Source organism: Homo sapiens, chromosome 12, assembly GCF_000001405.40.
Source record: "Homo sapiens chromosome 12, GRCh38.p14 Primary Assembly".
NCBI lineage: Eukaryota > Metazoa > Chordata > Mammalia > Primates > Hominidae > Homo > Homo sapiens.
This window is the reverse complement of record NC_000012.12, coordinates 57,292,934-57,309,111: the sequence shown is the minus strand read 5'-3', so window position 1 is coordinate 57,309,111 and position 16,178 is coordinate 57,292,934. Positions and strand designations below refer to the sequence as shown.

At 42.3% G+C, this 16,178-nt stretch overlaps 1 protein-coding gene across 52 annotated transcripts in view, besides 1 other annotated feature; it reads left to right on the top strand.

Moving 5' to 3' along the window:
- Positions 1-16,178, top strand: part of R3HDM2 (R3H domain containing 2) — a 177,378-nt gene that overhangs the window by 122,030 nt on the left and 39,170 nt on the right. For 26 of the 52 annotated variants that reach the window (XM_047428533.1, XM_047428528.1, NM_001351217.2 and 23 more), the window contains 7 exons: positions 5,895-5,936; positions 8,931-9,017; positions 9,634-9,760; positions 10,944-11,022; positions 11,725-11,784; positions 12,561-12,701; positions 13,605-13,713. In XM_047428533.1, the coding sequence (XP_047284489.1) occupies positions 5,895-5,936; positions 8,931-9,017; positions 9,634-9,760; positions 10,944-11,022; positions 11,725-11,784; positions 12,561-12,701; positions 13,605-13,713 (645 nt within the window). Of the gene's footprint in view, positions 1-3,448; positions 3,473-4,245; positions 4,640-5,894; positions 5,937-8,930; positions 9,018-9,633; positions 9,761-10,943; positions 11,023-11,724; positions 11,785-12,560; positions 12,702-13,604; positions 13,714-16,178 lie in introns of those variants that run through there. The other 26 variants (XM_047428527.1, XM_047428519.1, XM_047428514.1 and 23 more) reach the window with 5 other exon arrangements.
- Positions 1,052-1,346: an enhancer, noted in NCBI's record as "tiled region #11351; K562 Activating DNase unmatched - State 12:CtcfO". NCBI's record gives its function as "activates a minimal TATA promoter and a strong SV40 promoter by Sharpr-MPRA in K562 cells {active_cell/tissue: K562}" and the evidence as "EXISTENCE:reporter gene assay evidence [ECO:0000049][PMID:27701403]".

Here is a 16,178-nt window from a genome sequence, read left to right as displayed (position 1 = left end):
GGAATGAATTAAAATTAGACAGCTCTCTGAGATATTTTGTTCTCTAGCTGCCTGCTTTTCTACTGTTTTTCGTCTTACAATTCACCAGTCTCTGCCCTGGCTGTTTTTCTTTCCATTATTACATGTTAGTTGTCATTCCCTGCCCATTCTTCCAGAGCTTGTGGAGACAATCTGCCACTGTTCCAGCTGTACTTCCAGCCTCCACTGATACAAATAATGAATTTTAAATATTCAGGACAGATAAGTGATGAATGTTTCATTATGTGCTGTCATGTTACATGAAAGATAATAATTAAATGACCTTTTGGGTCTAAGTTATTCTATTCTTAGGAGATAATTATAAATGGTGTTCTGAATTCCTGTTTTGTGTACTTCTTGAAGCTAGGCAGAAAAGAAGGGACATCTATAGTTTTTTTTTATTTTTTGAGGCTGAGTTTCACTCTTGTTGCACAAGCTGGAGTGCGATGGCACAATCTTGGCCCACTGCAACCTCCGCCTCCCGGGTTCAAGCGATTCTCCTGCCTCAGCCTCCCGAGTAGTTGGGATTACAGGCGCCCGCCACGACACCCGGCTAATTTTTTGTATTTTTAGTAGAGGCGGGGTTTCACCATGTTGGCCAGGCTGGTCTTGAACTCCTGACCTCAGGTGATCTGCCCGCCTTGGCCTCCCTAAGTGTTGGGATTGCAGGCAGCACCTGGCCCCATCTATAGGTTTTATATGCTTTATGGACACTTGCTTAGTTTAAAAATGTCTTCAGGCCGGGCGCAGTGGCTCATGCCTATAATCCCAGCACTTTGGGAGGCCAAGGTGAGCAGATCACTTGAGGTCGGGAGTTCAAGATCGGCCTGGCCAACATGGTGAAACCCTGGCTCCACTAAAAATACAAAAAATTAGCTGGGCATGGTGGCATGTGCCTGTAGTCCCAGCTACTTGGGAGGCTGAGGCAGGAGAATTGCTTGAACCCAGGAGGCAGAGGTTGCAGTGAGCCAAGATCACCCCACTGCACTCCAGCCTGGGTGACAGAGCGAGACTCCAAGACTCCAACTCAAAAAAAAAAAAAAAAATTCACCTGGAAATACAAATACAATGTCTCGGGGTTTGGAAGGGGACCTGCCTCCTCTCTGACTTGACTCCTTTTGCTGCTGGTAGAGCAGGTGGAGCTGCTGCTGCCATCTACTGGAGCTCTTGTTCCTTTTGCAAAGTATTCAGTCTTGTCAGCCTCCCTGGATCCTATGGAGCAGTACCTTAAGAAGCACTCTACTCTCTATGCATTTCCCAACATACCATTTACCCCTTCATCAGCACTAAAAATTCTGCTTCTGAGCTGGGCATGTGGCGTGTCCCTGTAATCCCAGCTACTTGGGAGGCTAAAGCAGGAGAATGCTTGAACCCGGGAGGCAGAGGTTGCAGTGAGTCAAGATTGTACCACTGCACTCCAGCCTGGGTGACAGAGTGAGACCCTGTCTCAAAAAAAAAAAAAAAAAAGAGCATGGCTGGGTGCAGTGGCTCATGCCTATAATCCCAGCACTTTGGGAGGCCCAGGCGGGTGGATCACTTGAGGTCAGGAGTTCGAGACCAGCCTGGCCAACATGGCGAAACCCCATCTCTACTAAAAATACAAAAATTAGCTGGGCCTGGTGGCGCATGCTTGTAATCCCAGCTACTCGGGAAGCTGAGGCAGGAGAATCACTTGAACCCCTGGGAGGCAGAGGTTGCAGTGGCCCAAAATCGCACCACTGCACTCCAGCCTGGGTGACAGAGTGAGACCCCGTCTCAAAAAACAAAACAAAACAACAACAAAAAAACCCAGCATTTCTGCTTCTCCAGCCTTCCCTGGTTTTATACCCTAGAAGTCTCCCCAAGAATCTAAGTGGTCCTTTCAAAAAAGTCCCTGTTATGAATTGGAGCTGAAAAGTTTGGGGAAAAGGGACGTTCATTACATATAATGTGTGAGATATGTCCTTGGGATCAGCAAGTGAAACTCAGAACATCTTTTGCATGGAAACAATGCTAGAAAATGCAGGTTCTGAGATTCTGTTTAGAATGGGCAAGTCCTCAACACATACTGAATTTAGGTGTGTCCTTTTTTTTTGTTTTGAAATGGAGTCTCGCTCTGTCACCCAGGCTGGAGCGCAGTGGCGCAATCTTGGCTCACTGCAACCTCTGCCTGCCAGGTTCAAGTGATTCTCCTGCCTCAGCCTCCCAAGTAGCTGGGACTACAGATGCGTGCCACCATGCCTGGCTAATTTTTGTATTTTTAGTAGAGGCAGGGTTTCACCATGTTGGCCAGGCTAGTCTCAATATCCTGACCTCAGGTGATCCATCTGCCTCAGCCTCCCAAAGTGCTGGGATTACAGGCGTGAGCCGCCCCGCCCAGCCAAGAATGTCCTTTAGCCAACTTGGAGGCCAGGCGCGGTGGCTCACGCCTGTAATCTCAGCACTTTGGGAGGCCAAGGTGAGTGGTCATGAGATCAAGAGATTGAGCCCATCCTGGCCAACATGGTGAAATCCCATCTCTACTAAAAATACAAAAAAATTAGCTGGGTGTGGTGACGCATGCCTGTAGTCCCAGCTACCCAGGAGGCTGAGGCAGGAGAATCGCTTGAACCCAGGAGGCGGAGGTTGCAGTGAGCCGAGATCACACCACTGCACTCCAGCCTGGCAACAGAGCGAGACTCCATCTCAAAAAAAAAAAAATAGCCAACTTGGTAAGACCTCTTAGTTGGGCTTTCTGCCTTTAAACTTGTAATCCTTTTTGATAAATGTACCATATTGTTTTAGAAAGGTGGTTGTGAAATAAAGAACTGCCTGTGTTAACTCTCTTCAAACATTCTGTGTGTCTTACTGCTTTAAGCCAAGTCCAATATTTCTCAGCATGTTATATTGTGACCTAGTCTCTTGCCTGTCAGCCATCACCTCTGACATCCAATGCATCAGCATTATCTGATTCCTTGGTCCCTGTTATAAATAGGAGCTGAAAATTTGGGGAAAGCATGCTTTTGTACATGCTTTCTCTGCCTGGAATGCCCACCTTAATATTCTTATCCTGACCTCCTCCAACTCCTACCCCTACCAACATCTGTCTAAAGCCTATTTATCCTTCAAAACTCAATCCAGATGATGTCTTTCTCTAGGAAGCCTTTGAAAACCTTATTCACCTATTTGCAGGTCTATATAGTATAATTCTTTGATCAATGTCTGTCATCCTTACAGAACTATAAGTACTACGAGGTCCAGGATTAGGTCAATTTTGGCTCACCATTTTATCTCTAAGGCCAACACAGTGCCTTGCACATAGCAGGCACTCAATATCTGTAAATGTATGAATCTATGGGTTGCTAGGTCTGAGTCAGACGCTTCTGCTGTGTGCTCCTGTAGCACTCCATGAGTACCTCTCTAGTACACTTAATGTACTGTATTGTAATTGTCTGTCTGTCTTCTCCAACAGGATTATGAGTTCCTTTTTGACAAGGTTTGTGCCTTTTATCTCCATATCCTCCAGTAGCTAGCATGATAACATGGTGTATATTAGGCTTTTAATATATGTTTGGCTGTTAAAACTATCCATTCTGGGAAATAAGCAGATTCATTCATATATTGTTGGTAAGAGTCTAAATTGGTACAACCACTTTGAGGGGCAATTTAGGAATACTTTATAAAAAACTTTTAAATGGACTACAGATATACTATATTTATATATATTCAATGATATGGTCATTATTTATACTAACAAAAGGTCAGAAACATCCTAAATGGTGAAACATTAGAGACTCGTAAAATAAGTTATGGTATAGCTACACAGTGGAATACTATGTAGCCATTAAAAATGGGGTAGATCTTCTATAGAATGATACTCATGAAAAAAAGTTTAAAAACAAGGTTCACAGTAGTATGTATAATATGTTTATTTTTATTTTTATTTTTTTTGAAACGGAGCCTTGCTCTGTTGCTCAGGCTGGAGTGCAGTGGCGCAATCTCAGCTCACTGCAACCTCCACCTCCCAAGTTCAAGCAATTCTCCTGCCTCAGCCTCCCTAGTAGCTGGGATTACAGGTGCCCACCACCACGCCTGGCTAATTTTGGTATTTTTTAGTAGAGACAGGGTTTTGCCATGTTGGCCAGGCTGGCCTTGAACTCCTGACTTCAGGTGATTGCCCACCTTGGCCTCCCAAAGTGCTGGGATTACAGGCATGAGCCACCGCCCCCAGCCAATATATTTGGTTTTTTAAAAAAACCTTTGTATACACATACACTAAGCTTATATATGCCTAAAAGATACCTGGATATATCCAAAAGAACTTTAATACTGGTTGACCATTTAGGAGAGAACCAAGTATCTGGGGGACAATTATGAAAGGAGACTTACTGTTCTATATATATCCCCATTATGCCTTTTGAATCTTTGTGCCATGTTGTATGTATTGCCTGTTTGAAAAAGTAGTGACAAATACTGCTTCATATTTCTGGACTATGAATCTTCCCTTACTGCAACAGATCTTACCACTGAGCAGATCCACCATCATTTCTTATTCTTTCCATCCACCTTCCCAGTTCTCCATTTTGCATTGTGGCCGTGTTATTTGCTAACTAGTGAAGAAGACCAAGAAAAGAGAAATCCTCACCTACCCAAGGCCATGCTGGTACTCTGTCTCTGACTTGTTTCCCCTCCCCTATCCTCCTGCCTCAGTTCCCTCTACGCCCCATTGGAGTTCCATTCCAAACATCTCAGAACTCCTAAGTGCCTCATCCCCATATATAACCCTACCCAACCTCTTCCCAGAAGCCCCCATTTTGACTTCTCAGATGTTTACAAATCTTATTAATTGGCTGTTCTTTCCGTCATCCCACCTTACGCCTTCATTCTTTATCTTCCTCGGTTTCTATCCTGACCCTTATCCACTCTCTTCCCCTTGCTCTGGAGGTCTTATCCCTATATTTTATGCTCCTTTCTTTGTATCCTGATAACTCAGGGAGGGAGGCATTTGGGAAGAAGACTCTTCATTCCATTTCTGCAGCTATAGGAACAGATATTTTGGGTATCTCAAGTTGGAACTATGAATGTGTGTATTGTCCTATAAAGATATTATAAGTGATGGTTAGGGGCCATATTTCATATCCATTATTGATTAAATAGGCTTCTGTGAACAGGATTGGGGGAAAAAAACACTCTTTCATGCTGTGGTAGTGACATTTGCAGAAGCATCCTAAATAAGACAGGATACCATGGTTTGTCCAAAAGTAACTTTTATCAGTCTGTGAAATAGGCCAACAAAATCAGTGTCTTCCAACTCTTTTTTTTTCTTTTTAATGGTTTTTGTTGTTTGGTTTTTGAAACAGGGTCTGGCTCTTATCACCCAGGCTGGAGTGCAGTAGCGTGATCTCGGCTCACTGCAACCTCCTCTTCCCAGGCTCAAGCCATCCTCCCACCTCAGCCTCCCAGATACCTGAGACTACAGGTGCATGCCACCACACATGGCTAATTTTTTTTTTCTTTTTCTTTTTCTTTGTCTTTTTGGTTTTGTTTTTTTTTTTGTAGAGATGGGATTTCGCCTTGTTGCCCAGGCTGGTCTCAAACTCCTGAGCTCAAGGGATCCGCCTGCCTCGGCCTCCCAAAGTGCTGGGATTACAGGCATGAGCCACCACATCTGACCATCTTCTGATTCTCTAACTTAATGGTGAATGGTGATTTGACTGTATTGGCCTGTAGTCCCTTTCCTGTCACAGTTGTTAGAGTTGTAGGTTGTAGGGAGAAACCCACATCAAGTGGTCCTCATCATAGTTTGGCTGTTGTAATGGTTTTTACAGTTAGTGCTTTTTCTTTATAAACATGTATTGTTTTTAACTTACATGTCGATTTTCTTCCACCTTTAATATTTTCCAATTCCCTTCTAACAGAGGCGGACATCTAACCATGGTCATGCCAGGAAAAGAGCCAAGGTGAGAGCCCTTCCTCTAGCTTCTTTTCTAATGTTATTAGTAATACATTTCACAAGTAGACTTGTCATGAATATCTAGTTTGTTCAAATTATGTAGGCAGAGTTTTCTTGCCTGTACTCTGTACCCCAATTGTGAACCTGCGTAAGTGTGCATACACACATGTACACATACACATACATACCTCTAATGGAAACTGTGTAGGCGTACATAGGTGTATACACATTTGATGCCTGAAAGGCTACCCAGCTGGAGCCTTCCACAGAGCCTGAAAGAACTGGATACTAGTTGTGCTGAAATACCAGTTTCTCTGCTCACTCCTAGCTTCTCTAGGAGAATGGCTGCTTATATGAGTCTTTTTATTCCCCCTTCTTTTTTTTTTTTTTTCCTTGTGAGTTTTCTTTATGATAAATCCTGCCCCACTAAGAAAAATGACTCAACATTTCTGGATATCCTAAAAATACAGGCTTTTTTTTCCCCCTAATGTTTTACTTTTTTTTTTTTTTTTTTTGAGACGGAATTTTTTGCTCTCTTGCCCAGGCTTTAGTGCGATGGTGCAATCCTGGCTCGCTGCAACCTCCGTCTTCTGGATTCAAGCATTTCTCCTGCCTCAGCCTCCCAAGTAGCTGGGATTACAGGCGCCCGCCACCATGCCTGGCTAATTTTTGTAATTTTAGGAGAGATGAGGTTTCACCATGTTGGTCAGGCTGGTCTCGAACTCCTGACCTCAAGTGATCTGCCCACCTCGGTCTCCCAAAGTACTGGCATTACAGGCATGAGCCACCGTGCCCGGCTTCGAACTCTTGACCTTAGGTGATCCACCCGTCTCAGCCCCACAAAGTGCTAGGATTACAGGCATGAGCCACCATGCCTGGCCATTTTTCTTTTCTTTTCTTTTCTTTTTGAGATGGAGTCTTACTCTGTAGCCGGAGTGCAGTGGTGTGATCTCGGCTCACTGCAACCTCTGCCTTCCGTGTTCAAGTGATTCTCATGCCTTAGCCTCCCAAGCAGCTGGGCTTACAGGCACACACCACTAGGCCAGGCTAATTTTTGTGTTTTTAGTAGAGGTGGGATTTTGCCATGTCACGCAGGCTGTTCTCGAACTCCTGGGCTCAAGCGATCCACCTGTCTTGGCCTCCCAAAGTGCCGGGTTTACAGGCATGAGCCACCGCACTCAGCTAACCTAATGCTTTACTTTTTAGGGGGCAGGAAGAGGATTTTGCTTTTAATCATTATATGATAAACTTAGCACATCACAGATTATTTTAAGCAGAGTTATCAGGGAAGACTACATGTGTTAGTGTGTGATAGGTTTTTAATTTAGCTGGGAAGCAGTAAAGTATTAAATTTTTCTTGCATTGGGAAGAATTGCCACCAAAAGTAATAATTAAGGTTGGCCACCCTGTTCCTCCAAAAAAATAATGATAGAATTTGGAGAGTGGCTCAGCCACTATGTGGCTTGAGTTTGAAGAAGGCCAAGAACTATGATAAATTGGCTCTGTGGCTTGCCTTACATGGCCTGATCCATAGTGACGGGCTTGATGTTAAAGTTCAAAACAAAGGTTACTTACTGCTACTTTAGTTCCTCTCAAATTTTTTGGGATAAGTAAGACAGCTATTATCTCCATCTTACAGATGAGGAAACTTAGGCTATAGGGATTGAGTGGCTTAACAAATCAGTAGCAGTAGCTTAACATTCAGTAGCAAGTGACAGAATTAGGCATGATGTTAATTCTTCAGGCTCGCAAGTTCTTTCTGCTATACTGCACTACTTAGAGCATACCTGTCATGTTTTGTACTTTGGTATTTACTGTAATCCTTGGTTTTATTGTATTGAGTCTCAGTAAATGTTTATAGGTAGATTTCTAATGAGTCACCCTATAGTTTTTAGCTTTGGGTGGGTCCCTAGGAGGGAAATGATTTGCATAGTGGATTTCTGATATTTTTGGGATTCACCAGCTAGCAGAAGTAAAGCGGGCAGATTAGGTTTTATTGCATTAAATCCCAAGTGTTAATAAAGTTTTATCTGTCTCTCTTTTTTTTATTTTTTTTTATTTTTTGTTTTTTGGTTTTTTGAGATAGGGTCTCACTCTGTTGCCCAGGTTGGAGTACAGTGGCATGATCACAGCTCACTGCAGCCTCAACCTCCCAGGCTCAAGCAATTCTCCCGCCTCAGCCTCCCAAGTAGCTGGGACCACAGTCATGTGCTACCATGGCCAGCTAATTTTTAAAAAATTTTTTTGCAGAGATAGGGTCTCACTATGTTGCCCAGACTGTGACCTCCTGGCCTCAAGTGATCTTCCTACCTCAGCTTCCCAAAATGCCAGGTTTACAGGTGTGAGCCACCATGCTTGGCCTTTCTCTTACTCTTTTCTTAGACACTTCTTTCCAAACCCTTGGCATCTCAGGTTTGGAGTCATTTAGCATTTATTGTCTACTGTATGCTAAGCACTATTTAATGATATGTATATTTACATACTGTATATTATCTAATTCTCACAACAGGTTTTTAGGTAATTTTAGGTATTTATCGCCATTTTCCTGAGGAAAAACAGAGACCTGGAGAGGTCAGGTAATTTGCTCAGGGTCTCATAGCTTGTAAGTACAAAACCAGGAGTTGAAGCTAGGACTTTTGGCTCTCAGCCCCATTGTCTTTCTACTATGCTATGTTGCTGTGTGTTTGCATAAAGTTCTGAGACTGAAATTAGAGTATGGGGTTGAAGAGAGAAGAGGGCTGAGTGAAATGGTTTCCTATCATCTGTCCATGTAGCCAGTTTGTACATGTCTACTGTTGTAAGCAAGAGAAGTATCTTTCAAGTGAATCAGGAACTGGTGAGTAGGACCCGTTTGAAAAAAACCCCTGTTTAATGGAAACAGCAACTAACAGAGCCAAAGAGGACACTTTTCATTCAGCCAAAAGCTTTCTGAATGTTCACCGAGGGAAGAAATATATAAGATACATTAAAAAAATTGAAAATTGTTTTTTGTTTTTTTCAGTCTAATTCCAAGCTAAAGTTGGTGCGTAGCCTGGCAGTGTGTGAGGAGTCCTCCACCCCATTTGCTGATGGGCCATTAGAAACCCAGGTAGGTCATTTGCAGGAGTAAGTGTAGCTTTTGCGCTTGGCAGTTGTTTGGTAAGATGTAGTATGGCAGTCACAGCAACATCAGACTTGAAAATCAGGGTAGAAGGTACTTCAGAACAAAAGCTGTTGTAGTAAAACAGGGCATGGTCTCTCCTCCCAGCTGTGGGTTCCAGTGGCAGTGGCAGTGCTGACAGACCTGCACCAGGGAGGAGGGGGACCCTAAAAAAGAAAAAAACCCCAGCATAGTGAGAGCATGAAGTATAGGTCTTCATATCTTGACCACCTAGGATGATGCAGACAAGAAGATCCCAGGGCTAGATCTTATTTTCTTATGTGTACCCTCCCCCTCTGGTGGTTAGAACCATTCCCATTCAATACCTGTGCCAAGAACGGCCTGTGTAATTTGAGCTCTCCATAAAGTAGGTTGTGCTTGCTGGCAGAAAAAGCTGTGCCTCTACCCTCTTGATAGAAGAAAACTAAAACAGTTTAATTAGCAAAATAACACTAATCTATAAGAGAGAGCTGCCACCCCAAGATTTACCTTCTTTGAGATTCCAAGGGAGCTGCAAGAAAGTTAAAATCTTTTTCCCCCTTTGATTATCCTTTTTCCCCTTAAGGATATAATTCAATTGCACATCAGTTGCCCTTCTGACAAGGAGGAAGAAAAGTCCACAAAAGATGTCTCTGAAAAGGAAGACAAGGACAAAAACAAAGAAAAGATCCCAAGGAAGATGCTGTCCAGAGGTAAGGAGTTTTTCCCATCTCTCATCTGTTCTAGGGCAGTGCCCTTTACTTTTATCCTGAAGCCTGGCACCTGCCAGCCTTACTGGCCCATCAATTTGTAGTGTTCTGCTAACTTGGTTGCTTGAGGAGATGCCTAACGAGGTTACTTTCTTTGCTTCTTTAACTGAACCTGCCTTAGGAGCTCACATGCCACAGACAGCTACTCCATCTGCATTGGCATTATCCATAGGAGGACAATGTAGTCAATTCTGATTTTACTTGTGCTCTGGAATAATGGTAACATTGATAATCATTGGGTAGCAAATCCTCCAGATGCCATTTATATTTTGGTTTGGGGATGGCTAGGGTGATATTTATTTATTTATTTTTATTTTTATTTTTATTTTTTTGAGACAGAGTCTCCCTCTGTCGCCCAGGCTGGAGTGCAGTGGCACGATCTTGGCTCACTGCAACCTTCGCCTCCCGAGTTCAAGCGATTTTCTTGCCTCAGCCACCTGAGTAGCTGGGACTACAGGCACATGCCACCACACCTGGCTAATTTTTGTATTTTTGTAGAGGTGTTTAGTTTTACTATGTTGGCCAGGCTGGTCTTGAACTTCTAACCTCAGGTGATCTACCCACCTCAACCTCCCAAAGTGCTGGGATTACAGATGTGAGCCACTGCGCCTGGCCTGGTTTTTTTTTTTTTTAATAATGCAGATTTGCCTCTAATTATTAGACTATCTTTGCCTTTAAACTCTTGTACTGGTAGCAAAAAGACATAGTCCATAAAAATGATAATTGATAAGAAAAGGCAAACAGGATTAAAAAATAATATTTGGGCATATTTACTGAGATTCTGGAAAATTCAGCCCTGACTGCCCTTACCTGGAATTTATTTTCCTTAATAAAACCTGCTATATTTTGATCAGGACATTCAGTAAATACCTATTGATGATAGATGGCTTTTCAGTGTAATATTGATGTAATACTATGGCCCAGATTCTTTCTTCTGTCATTCTGATGAGGAATTTTGGGATCTAGCACATCAAGGTCATTCTGGATTTTATGTTAAAACCCTGGAAGTTTGATTTTGCTTTCCTATTCTTTTTTCTCCTGGTTAGGTTGTGGACTTCTGCTTAGGATTAGATAGCATGCAAAGCAGTTTCATGTATTTTAATTTCTTTTGTTGTGGTGGTTCTAGACTCCAGCCAGGAATATACGGACTCCACTGGAATAGACCTACATGAATTTCTTGTAAATACACTGAAAAAGAACCCAAGGTAATAACATGATGGGTATAAGAGGAAAAGGGGTTAGGGGATAGCAAGATTCCAAGAGGCCAAACGGCTTCCCAGAATTTTTCCATTCTTAGAATCTAGGATGCTCATCTTCCTGTCCCCCTAGTATTTGTCAGGTATAGTTTTATATTCTGTGAGGGATTCAAAATACTCTCACATTGAGGTTTCTGTTTTCAGAAGAATTGGGAAAACTTCTGTGAAAGAAGAATGCAGAAACAAAGAAATATGAAGTCTTGGGAGTATACTGATTAAAAAGCACACATTGGGAGTGATAGTAAGAAGAGCTAAAATAAAAAGCACAGAAGGAAAAAATAATTGATTTGTACATAAGCTAAATTATAATTCCTTTAAAATTGTTTATAACAAGATGGAATACAGAATGACGATTAGATTTATAACGTGTGTTTATATGAATATGTTGTTAACAGTGAGATTTCTGATATGGTATAACAAAGTATATGATTGGAGGACCTGCAAAATGTATACTCGGGTTGTTTTTCTTTTTAAAAATATTGTAAAACAGGCAAGTGAGGCTTAGCAGCATTATGGTTCATTACTGGGTTTGGATATATACCTTTTTCAGCTTCTGTAATGAGCAAGTTGTGTTTTCAATCCCCACTTTCAATGTCTATGGGAGGGCTGCTTTTTGTTTTGTTTTGTTTTGTTTTAATCTTTTTTAAACAGGGACAGAATGATGCTGCTAAAATTAGAACAGGAGATTCTGGAATTTATTAATGACAACAAGTAAGTTACTTGCATGAAATATATAATTAGAGGTGGGAGGGGGCACTGGAAATAAATTTAGGTACAATTTTAGGAGATGTTCCCCTTGAAGTGTGATTTTTGAAAACATACTGAAGTTTTTAAGTTATTATGTAGATTTGAGTTGAAAAATAATTTATATCTTTTCAGCAGCTTGCACTTGTCCCAGATTTTACTGTTCTTAAATGTCTTCCTTTTTCTTTGTCAAACATCATCCAGGTGGGTGGGACCTAGGGCTTAATAAGTAGTCTTTTTTTTGAGACAGTCTTTCTTTGTCGCCTAGGCTGGAGCGCCGTGGTACAGTCTTGACTCACTGCAATTCTGCCTCCTGGGTTCAAGTGATTCTTGTGCCTCAGCCATTGAGTAGCTGGGATGACAGGCACATGCCTAGCTAATTTTTGTATTTTTTGTAGAGACGGGGTTTCACCATGTTGACCAGGCTGGTCTTGAACTCCTGAACTCAATTGATCCGCCTGCCTTGGCCTCCCAAAGTGCTGGGATTACGGGCATGAGCCACTGCACCCAGCAATGAGTAGTCTTAATGAGGAAAGTAGGTCATAGTAATCTGCAGAATACTGTAGATAAAGAAACTGAGAAAAACCTATTTGGTTCCCATTTAGTAAATATCTATATTCCTTATAATATGTCTATTTCTCCTAAGAAACTTTCCACTTTAGACACTTGTAAGAAAAATTAAAATTGGTTGTTATTGCAGTTGTTTGTCTTATTTCACTTTTTTTCCCCGGGTTTCCCTTCAGTAATCAGTTCAAGAAGTTCCCTCAGATGACCTCATATCACCGGATGCTATTACACCGGGTAGCTGCCTATTTTGGGATGGACCACAATGTTGATCAAACTGGGAAAGCTGTCATCATCAACAAAACTAGTAACACAAGAATGTAAGGGAGGAAACCATGGTTTGGGAAGACTTCCCTGGGATAACCTGCTGGGTTGGAAGAGGAAGGTGTAGGATCAGGATGTCTCTTGCAGATGGCCAGGCGTGGTGGCTCACACCTGTAATCCCAGCACTTTGGGAGGCCAAGATGGGAAGACTGCTTGAAGCCAGGAGTTCGAGACCAGCCTGGTCAACACAGCAAGATCCCATCTCTATTACTTTAAAAAAAAAAAAAAAGTTTAAAAATGGCCGGGCGCAGTGGCTGACGCCTGTAATCCCAGCACTTTGGGAGGCCGAGGCGGGTGGATCATAAGGTCAGGAGTTCAAGACCCGCTTGGCCAAGATGGTGAAACCCCGTCTCTACTAAAAATACAAAAATTAGCCGGGCGCGGTGGCAGGCGCCTGTAATCCCAGCTACTCGGGAGGCTGAGGCAGGAGAATCACTTGAACCCCAGTGGCAGAGGTTGGAGTGAGCCAAGATCACGCCATGCACTCCAGCTTGGGCAATACAGTGAGACTCCATCTCAAAAAACAAACAAAAAAAATTTTTTTAAGTATTTTGCAGGGAAGGGGATTGGGGTTGGGGTTGGTTATATAATTAATTCCTACTCTTTCTGAGCCTTGGAGATAGATTCTAGAGAGACTGATGTTTCATGAAGTCTGGCCCTAGCCTCTCTTCACTTCACTGATAGGACAGATATAACTATGGAGGAAGAGAAGTTATAGATGTATAAAGTACAGACCCTGAAGATTTCATTAAAACCTGCATGTGACTTTTTGGATTCCTTACTCCAGAAATTCCCTGAGTGTGAGTTGTGTAATTTAGGAGAGCTGTACCTAATAGGTCTGCTTCCTAACAAAACGGTCTTTGTCCTCCTTTCCTTTCACATTTCTCTCCAAATCTCAGCCCTGAACAGAGGTTCTCAGAACATATAAAGGATGAGAAGAATACAGAATTTCAACAGAGGTTCATTCTCAAGAGAGATGATGCCAGTATGGACCGAGATGATAACCAGGTGAAGAATGGAAAGGGGTGGGCCTATATAGAGAGTTTGCAGTAAGAGAAACTGGGAAGGGAGAAGAATTTTTGTGGGATGGAGAAAACTCAAAATATCTTAGTACGGAGAAATGTATTGAGCTATACGGAGTTGGCTTTGGCTTAATGTTGAGAACTGTTTATTTGTTGAACTGGATGCCACCCTCTTAGCCCTAGAGAGACATGGTGCTGAGGTTTGCTAGGTGATCTCATTTGGCCTGGAACTCCTTGGGTCTGCCACTGACTTCTAACACCACATCATTTGGAATAAAGCAAGGTTGATCCCTGCCTCAGCCTTGATCCAACTGTTGGTTTCATTCTTTTTTTTCCTTTAATAGTTAGGGATTTCTTTGGGAACCACAAAAAGCTACTTTGTCCCACTTCAACTCTTATCCTAGCTTAGGGCTAGCCTTGAACTGGCAAAGTTGTGATCTAATTTACCCAATTATAAAGGTGTTTCTGATCCCTTTCTGCAAACTCCTTAATCTTTTTCCAACTCCTTCCACCAAGGTGAGTGAGTTAATTTGACATTTGATGCTGGGAACCTCAGATAGATCCCCTTTGTGATCCACTGCTGTGGGAATAAGAAGGGAACAGCCTATCCCATCCCTTTAAATGGGCCTGGCTATTGCTTTGACCTGAAGCCTACCCTTTAGATAGTAAGTGATTATTTGCGGGTTAGCTAAGAAGAAGATTTAGATCCAGCCTGCCTCTGCTTGGCCTCCAAAAGGGATTCGATTTGAAGAGCGTGGTTGAGTAGAGCCTACATTAATCTTGCTAATTAATAACTATAATAATATCTTACCTCTAGTGTCAAAATTAGTTTTCTTGGGATATTGTATGGTCTTGAGACCAGGACCTTTCCTGCTTGCTGCTTGAGTATTTGAGGGAGTCCTTTTGAGAAAAGTGCCATTATCTATTGTGGACAAACACACTGGGACTGATTGAAAACAAAGAAACATACAAAAAGACAAAATTTAAAAAACGAGAAAGAGCCTTTCCATCCTGATGCCCTTCTCCATTTTCCCAAACCCTTTTTCTGTGGATCAGGAATTATTCAGGCCTAGAGGCACATTGGGGCAAAGTGGAGTCTGTCCCTATTGTGAACTTTTCATCTCTCAGCTTCAGGCTTGATCCAATAGGGTTGTTTCTGTGTACTTTCTGTCTGTGACGTTAATAACAAGCATAATAATTGCTATCTTATTGAGTGTTTTCCCTGAACTAGGCTGTGTTCTAAACACATTTGTATGCATTATTTCCTTTAATCCTCTTCACAACCCAATGAGGATGGGGGTTATTATCCCCACTTTACATATAAGAAAACTGAGGCTAAGAAATGTTAAGTTACTTGTCTAAAGTTATATTACTGGGAGGTGGCAGAGCTGAGATTCTGCCTGACCTCAAAGCCCATTATGTTCTTTCTACTTTGCCATTGATTTACCTAGGGGCTGAGGACAATATAGCTCCTTGAGGCCCTGTGTCTTCTTGGAATGGAATTTATAAGAGGACATTTGGTAGGATTTAGGTTCTTGAAGCTAATGAGAACTAAATCTAGGCAAGGTTGATATTCTTGAAGTTATGGTTACCTTTGGAGATTGGTAAAGATCAGGAAGACCAGCCTAGAGCAGCAATCTCCTTAGTTGCTTCATGTGAAGCTTTCAAAGCCTCTGGGTTGGAAGTCAGAATCTTTTATAATCTGGTGATATTCATTTGATGAGTTTTCTCCCTTAGAACTCCTTGCCTTCAAGAGCAGGATGGATAAGGACACTCTATTACACCCTACCCTGGACAGTGTTCACCAATTACAGGCCAGGAGAGGAAAGATCATGATGAGGATTTAGATGGTAGGCTACTCAGAGGTGGTGATCTCCCCAGCCATCCCGTCTGGTTACCTCACTACATTTTCTAGAGAATGTAAGGTTCTTCTCTATCCTCTATTTTCTTATTTTCCTTGTCTATCTCTCTGTCTCTCCCCTTCCTCCACTGTACCTTACTTCTCTTCCTTTCTCTGCCCCTCTTTCTATCTGTTCTCCTTTTCTTTCTCTTTGTATTGCTCTGTTCTCTTTCTTCTTTATTTCTGTAATTTGTCTCTCCCCTTCCCCACCTCCAGTTAATATAGTTAAGTTCAGGAAAAAAATGCTTAGGCTTTGAGTTTAGCTTCGCCCTTGGGATTTCATTTCCAAGGCCCTCTTTGCTGAGCTGTGTGTGATTTGGGTCTTCAGGCCATGGCATTAGTGACTAAATAAGGAATAATGCCAGGTGCTAGTTCTATAAACCTCCTCCTCTACTGTTCAGCTCTGCTAAACACCTGTTTCTTCTCCCGTTCCAGCTTCCCTCTGTCCTTTGCTTTCCCTCTAAAGCAGTGTTGTTCCTTTTCCCAGGGCTATTTTCTCGATCCTTACTGACTGGAGGCTACCTGATTACTAGAGGGAAGCAACCCAGTCC